Source organism: Homo sapiens, chromosome 3, assembly GCF_000001405.40.
Source record: "Homo sapiens chromosome 3, GRCh38.p14 Primary Assembly".
Classification (NCBI taxonomy): Eukaryota; Metazoa; Chordata; class Mammalia; order Primates; family Hominidae; genus Homo; species Homo sapiens.
The window spans coordinates 156,086,827-156,094,458 of record NC_000003.12 but is presented as its reverse complement, the minus strand read 5'-3'; the positions used below and the strand labels follow the sequence as shown (position 1 = coordinate 156,094,458).

Below are 7,632 nucleotides of genomic sequence, written 5' to 3'. Positions count from 1 at the left end.
AAAGCAGAAGGCAATGTTTACTACTATAAGGTTTGAAGGCTAAGACATTGGGCAGAAGGTGATGGCTTAAATAGGCTAGAGAAAGAGGAGAAAAAAAAAATTGCAAATGCAGAAGGAAAGCATGAGTGAGCTGGACTCCGGACTTTTGCTCTAGCAGCCAGGCAACAGCTACCGTTGACCAGGGGTCCCCAACCCCCTGGAACCAGTACCTGGCCTGTAAGGAACGAGGTCACACAGCAGGAGGTGAGCGGCAGGCAAGCCAGTGAAGCTTCATCTGTATTTACAGTTGCCCCCCATTGCTCACATTACCACCTCAGCTCTGCTTCCTGTCAGATCAGCAGTGGCAGCATTCGCATAGGAGCACAATCCCTTTTGTGAATTGCGCATGCAAGGGATCTAGGTTGAATGCTCCTTATGAGAACCTAACGTCTGATGATCTGTCACTGTCTCCCATCAGCCCCTGATGGCTGTCTAGTTGCAGGAAAACAAGCTCAGAGTTCTCATTTATTCTTTATTATGGTGAGTTATATAATTATTTCATTATATATTACAATGTAATAATAACAGAAATAAAGTGCACAATAAATGTAATATGCTTGAATTATCCCGAAACCATCCCCACCACCCTGGTCTGTGGAAAAATTATCTTCCAAGAAACCAGTCCCTGGTGCCAAAAAGGTTGGGGGCCACTGCTGTTGATTCTTGGGAACTTGATGTGGATCCTTTTTAGAGGACAAAAGTGTGTTAATACATGTGAAGTTTACACAATTCTTGTAAACTTCTGATTCCCTAGACCAGTATTACATTTCAGAGACCAAATTTAACAAAGCAACTCTGAATCCACATAAATGTTTAGTAATTTGAGATAAATAAATTAAATGAATGTTGTTGATATTCTGTTTTGATAGTGTCAAATTTTCCTTTTCACAATGAAGGATTCCTGGAATGAAACCCAGAGAAATATGTCAAGGAATCAGAAGAAATAATACAGACAGTAATTTCTTTAATCTGAAGTATCTAAAGCTGAAAAGGCATTAAACAATCACAAAAACTGGAGAAAAAAAAGCAAAGGAAAATGAGAAGCATAATACTTTAATTCTCTTTGTTGATATTTTAAGATAGTTCTTTACTAATTTATTCTTTGCTCTTTTCCAAAGAGATAGCTTGTTTCATCACCTTAATGTATTTATAGTCATTTATAATTATTTCAGAAAAGCTTTTTTGGTGAATTCCAAACTGGATTTTAGTGAGAAAGCACTGAGTGGAATGCTGATGTGTCTTCTCATTGACTTCATGATCTCCAATCCAAAAATTGGTACAATGAAACTTCATTCTGTATAATCACTAACCTCAAAGGACATGTTATTGATTAAAGTACGTAAGTCTAGTTTGTACTCCAAATATTTAAAAGAATGAGAGGTGTTCAAATAGAAGAGTCTGTCCACTTATAAAAAAATAGACTATCAGTCTATTTTACACTAGACTACTCAAGAAGAAATCTCTCAATGTTCTTTCAAAAAGCCATTTGACATTGATACCCTGTGAGGAAATGACCCACTCACCACTCAGCACTATAATGAGGACAGGCAGATTTAAATTTAGAAATTTGAATTCGTTTCTTCTCTAACCTTTCCAGGAAGAGAGAAGGCTGCAGACCCACAGAGATGTTCAAGCTTTGATTATGAATACCACCCAGTCCCCTTTACGTGATCCAAGCAGATAAATTCATCATCTGGATTGAATAAAGATATTTTTTAAAAGACAGAACTGCGCCCACCCAACATATGTCATCAAAGTATCAGTTTCCAAATGAGATATCAGAGAGAAGAGCTGAGAAGAAGATCTGAGAAGCATTACCCACCAGTGATAGGGAGAAACACCTTAAGAAATATAGCCAGGCGCAATGATTCACGCCTGTAATCCCAGCACTTTGGGAGGCTGAGGTGGGCAGATCACCTGAGGTCAGGAGTTCAAGAGCAGCCTGGCCAACATGATGAAACCCCATCTCTAGTCTCTACAAAAATACATCTCTAGTCTCTACAAAAAGACAAAAATTAGGCATGATGGCGGGTGCCTGTAATCCCAGCTATTTGGGAGGCTGAGGCAGGAGAATCACTTGAACCAGGGAGGTAGAGGCCACAGTGAGGCAAGATCACGCCATTGCACTCCAGCCTGGTCAACAGAGCAAGACTCTGTCTCAAAAAAAATAAATAAATAAAAATAAATAAATAAATAGAAATGTCGTATTACCATTATTCACATTCTATAGATGAGAAACTGAGTCTGTGGGACACAAAATAACTTGAAGTTGCAGAGCCAGTAAGTGGCAGAATCAGAATTCAAATCCATATCTATCTCAGTCTAGACCCTGGAATGTCACTACGAGGCTTATAATATTCTCCTTATATCATGGATTCCTAATAGAGCAGCTGTACTTGAAAACACCTCAAAAGGAACACAGTCCTGTAGCTTTACCCAGTGCTGTAATGCTTGCCACAAACTGTATGTCTTTCCACAAGCTGCATCCCTTGCCCCTGTCTAGTAGCTTCTACTTTAGTTTGCCTCCCACTTCTCAGGACCAGAGGAATCATTGAAGTCAAAACTTCTCAGTCCCATCCTGAGTGTCTGTTGGCTAGACCTTGTTGGAAGTGGCTCTCTCAGGCTCCTCTCTTTCATATGATACACAATCTAGTTCATGGCTCCTGTATGCAGAGCAGAGATGCTGAAATTGATCCTCCTTAAGACACATACACAGGCCAGACCTTCATCTGTGCTCGACACCTCTATGCCTGTGATCACCACTTTGGCTTGGTCTAGGAGTCCTCAGATTCTTACAACTAGGATCCTTTAGGAGTTCAAGGTCCAAGGACCTTTTGCCAAGCCCCCAGAAGAAGGGCCATGGAGAAAAACTCTAGATGGTTATACAAGCAAAGCAACAGGGTAAATACATGCATGTTCATGGAGTTTTCATTTTATTCAAAGGCTTAGAGAAACAAAATGTGGAAAGTATCTGATAATTTAAAACAATTTTATAAAAGTTAACATGGATATATTACAGACTAGAATAAAAATTCACATATATTTTTTAGATAAAACTAGAGGAGCAACAGATATGTCAAGGACCTGCTTCAGGTCAGGTTCTCCATCTCCTTACAGGAGTGCATGCCTTCTTCTCCCCCTGCGGAAGTGCCTCAGGGATGAAAGTAGAGAGAACTCTCAGGGCATGCTCAAGGCCATCACTTCTACTCCAGCCATGTGCTTTTTCTGCCCTAAGGAGTTTGCTACATCAAACCTTACAGGGAAAAAAGGCATTGGGTGAATGATTTAGATAAGCTCTCTGCAGGAAGGACCTCTACTTCTTTTTCTCACAAAGGGAATGGAAAATTTTCAAGAGGAAACTATCGAGTGTGGACTTAAGGGAAAAGAGCCCCTAAGCTGTTCCTATTCCAGACCTGACTGAAAGAACCAAGAAAATCCTCAAGATTTCACACATGGATCAGCCCAACTCATCAGAAAGGGTGTCCATTTAGGGCTCTGCATTAATAAGGACAGTTTGATCCAGTTAATTCTTTGTTGTGAGGGGGCTATCCTATGCCCTTTGGAATGTTTAGTAGCAACCCTGGATTCTACCTACAAGATCCTCAGTTGTGACAACCCAAAGTGTCTCTAGACATTGCCAGTGTGCCCAGGGTTGAAAACCACTGAGTTAGGGGAAGAGAGTTGTAGCTTGGCTAATAATCAAATATTTGTTTTCTTAGAGTATCTTCTGTGCTATATATATCACCTAGGCCTTAGAGAGGGTGCTATGGCTATAGTAGATGGAGTGAAATTCAGGATGTGATGATTCAGATTCCTATGCTGGCCACCATCTTCAGAACTAACACTACCTGAGCTGAGTACCTCAACAAAAGGCAGAGGGCCATGTACAGCTGCACAGGCTAGGCACTGCACAATTCCAGACAGTGCCCTTCACACAGTTTATGATGTGAAAGGAGCTCCTGGAGTCGTGCAATGAAGCAGCCTTGGATGTTACAGTGTTTCAGCCATCTGTCTCCTGTCTGTAGAAAATGTCTTGGAAGAAGGAAAAATAAAACTAGTAAACAGTATATATGGGTCAGGAAATCATGAATCACTGTCTCAGCTTTAAAATGGGATACCACTTCCAGATGGCATCACATTCTCAAAAGTTAAAACGGAGCTTCAAATCTGAAAAATCTTGTAAAAATGTTTCTTTTTAACACTTCTGTTTTGTTGCCAGGACTCTACTGGGTTACTGGAAAGCTGTAGAGAAGCTACATGGTGCAGTGGAGTGAGCTGGGGATTCCCTACGAGGAGGCTAAGATTTGAATCATGTTTCTACACCTAAGAGGTGTTTTGGTCCTTTGACAAGTTACTTGACCCCTGAGCCAGCTTTCTACTGGTACATTGAAGAATGATAACAGTTATTCCTGCCCCAGAGTGTTGTGAGGATTAACAAAGAAATGATACCATGAGCGCACACATGTCTTGTAAAGGGTAAAGCAAAACACAAATGCTGCTCAATTTGACAGATAGATGGGGTCACTCGATAGCTTGCTGAAGATTTGAGACCGTTCTTTCAGATGTCAAAGATTTATATTTTAAAAGGTGTTCATTTTTAACATTTTTTGAAATCTTCTCACCCATGTAATTTTAAGTACCATTGTTCACAGCTTGTATTATTTTATGCTTATAGATTATAGAGGTTATCTTATTGACAGAGAGCTAAATAGTCTAATCACTAGAATATTGAAAGAAAATAGCATTTTATAGAAACTTCTTCAAAGTTTACCCAAAAGGTACAGTTGTCTGTCCTTAGCTTAATAATACTTTTTTTCTAATTACAAAAGCAATATATGACCATTCATTCTTCTTTTCTCTACCGAAAAGTAGTCATTTAAACTCTAGAAATATGTTAACAGTTATATAATATTCTGCAAATGAATGTTCCATATTTATGAACTATTATCTCACCAACTTTTTATTTTTACCTTATATCCATCTTTTTTTTTAACTTCCAAATTCCTAGAAGTAGAATTCCAAAATTAAAGAGTTTGAATTTTTTTTTTTTTTGAGACAGGGTCTCACTCTGTCACCCAAGCTGGAGTTGTGCAGTGGTGAAATCACAGCTCACTACAGCCTTGACTTCCCTGGGGAGGATCAAGCGATCCTCCTGCCTCAGCTTCCTGAGTAACTGCACCTACAGGCAAGCACCACGATGCCCAGCTAATTTTTTCTATTTTTCGTAGAGATGGGGTCTCATTATGTTGCCCAAGCTGGTCTCAAACTCCTTGGCTCAAGCCAAGTATTTTGGCCTCCCAAAATACTAGGATTGCAAACGTGAGCCACTGTACCTGGCCTGAATTTTTTCAAAGATCCTGGCTTCAATTTGCCTTCCAGAAAGAATTATATCAATTTGCACACATTTTAGCAATATGAGAATGTACCTAAATATTTTTAACATATTTATTCTCCTAATTTGCATATTTAAGATTTTATTAGTCATTAGTATCTCTTCTTATGTTTATGTGCTCTGCATATTTATTTTATGGGGCATTTGTGTTTATAACTGATTTTTATGAATCTTTATATATTAAGTATATTAATCATTTGTCTCTCATATTTGGGTAATGGACTTCCCAGCCTATTATTTTTTTAGTTCAATATTATGTGCTTTCTTAACACTAAAAAGTTTAGTTTTGATGTAATCAAAACTATTGCTATTTTTCCTGTGATTTTTTTCTATTGCTTTTAAGTTAGAAAACCGTTTCTTATCCTGGGATCAAACATTTTAAATCACCTCTGTGATCTTTATGCTTTGCACAGTTTTTTTTTTTTTTTGACACCTAAAATTCATGTTGGCTTACTGCACCAAGCAAGAAAGGATTTCAAAACAGATAAATACAAACAAAATGATAAAAAATATCCAAATTCTTGTCTTTGAATACAAAAGTAAGCTCTATAAATTCAGAGTGGAAGCAGCAATCTTGAAGGCAAAGTCCTTTAGATTTTTTAAGAGCTGAATATTTCAAGAGGTAAAAGCTTTGGGTTCAAAGAGCAAAAGCCTGAAAGACTTGGGGCACAGGATTTTAAATCATGAACCAGAAAGCAGAGAAGCACCAGAGAGATCTCATAAGGATGGAAATAGGAAGTTTTTCTGAACTGGGAGGAGCTCGAAGACAATCACAAGAGTATCAAGATATGGCCGGGCATGGTGGCTTGCCTCTGTAATCCTAGCACTTTGGGAGGCCGAGGTGGGCAGATCACCTGAGGTCAGGAGTTTGGGACCAGCCCGGCCAACATGGTGAAACCCCATCTCTACTAAAAATACAAAATTAGCCAGATGTGGTGGCACATGCCTGTAATCCCAGCTACTCGGGAGGCTGAGGCAGGAGAATCACTTGAACCCGGGAGGCGGAAGTTGCAGTGAGCCAAGATCACGCCATTTTACTCCAGCCTGGGCAAGGAGAGTGAAACTCCACCTCAAAAAAAAATGAGTGGCGAGATAGAAGCTTACTTAAGTCTGCAAACAGCAAACTCTCCAAGGATTCAGGTTTGCAGTGCCCAGAGCCACTTGGGGCAGCCACAGTAGAGTAGAAATGGCAGTACTGTCAGTTTAAGCATAGCATCCCCCACAAATGCTCCTGATGGGGTGAAAAAGAGATTTGGTTACCTTCCATTGGCTTCTGAGGGATGTGCTGAAAAGATCTGAGAATCAAAGGCCAGCGTGCCTGCTGAGGGCTCGCTGCTGTTACGGCAAGGGCGGCCTGCAGCAGGGGCTGTGCGATGGACAGCCAGGCCGGGTGCCGGCTGCAGTGAGGCTGGCCCGAGTCAAAAGAGGGACAGCACCCCTCATGGAAGAGTCACTGTTTCTGGGAGGACAGAGCATAGCTTCCTCAGCCAGGGACACATGGAGCAGATGCTGTGGACAGATAAATCAATCACCCAGACTGGCAGTGCAAACTCCATCATAATGAAGCCAACAGGACAGAGGATGAGCTTAGATCCGGGCCTCTATCCCCCGAGGCCATGCCCATGCCTGAGAGAAGTTTATGGTCCCAGTGTGAAGGAAAAGTAGAGGGAATAAAATCCCTAAGAGATTGAGTTTATATGAAAAGTGACTGAATTACCTAGTAGTAACCAGATTACATTTTCTATTCTCAGAGAAAACAGAAACTTACAAGCCATATTAATTATTATAATTGTCACATAATGGTATGTGAATATGAAAGGTATAAATAAATATACATTTAAGTATATTCAACATATATTATAAATATGTATAATATGGGATTAATATATATGCCTCTTTTCCACCGATTGGGACACCACCTTCATCCTGTGTCAAATATGATGCATACTGACATCTGTTTCTCAGAAGGTTGATTCCATTCATCTGTCTACTAGCTGAGATGGTATTTAGCAGGTCTAGGCCCAGAAACTCAGGTTTGCTCAGTCTTGCAGCTTTCATTTTGATTGCATTCCGATTCTGTATTTTCCTGCAGTCCTTTTCCTAGAAGCTGCCCACTCCCTAAATCCTGTGGGGTTTTCAGGTATCCTCCATTAATAAGCCTACATCATCCTCGCATCCTCAGCAACTGTGTATCTGTTGAT

General features: G+C 40.1%; 3 annotated features.

Moving 5' to 3' along the window:
• Positions 65-592: an enhancer, noted in NCBI's record as "OCT4-NANOG hESC enhancer chr3:155811656-155812183 (GRCh37/hg19 assembly coordinates)". NCBI's record gives its function as "activates a minimal SCP1, AML or CMV promoter by ChIP-STARR-seq in primed H9 embryonic stem cells {active_cell/tissue: H9 hESC(primed)}" and the evidence as "EXISTENCE:reporter gene assay evidence [ECO:0000049][PMID:30033119]".
• Positions 6,322-6,821: an enhancer, noted in NCBI's record as "H3K4me1 hESC enhancer chr3:155805427-155805926 (GRCh37/hg19 assembly coordinates)". NCBI's record gives its function as "activates a minimal SCP1, AML or CMV promoter by ChIP-STARR-seq in primed H9 embryonic stem cells {active_cell/tissue: H9 hESC(primed)}" and the evidence as "EXISTENCE:reporter gene assay evidence [ECO:0000049][PMID:30033119]".
• Positions 6,822-7,323: an enhancer, noted in NCBI's record as "H3K4me1 hESC enhancer chr3:155804925-155805426 (GRCh37/hg19 assembly coordinates)". NCBI's record gives its function as "activates a minimal SCP1, AML or CMV promoter by ChIP-STARR-seq in primed H9 embryonic stem cells {active_cell/tissue: H9 hESC(primed)}" and the evidence as "EXISTENCE:reporter gene assay evidence [ECO:0000049][PMID:30033119]".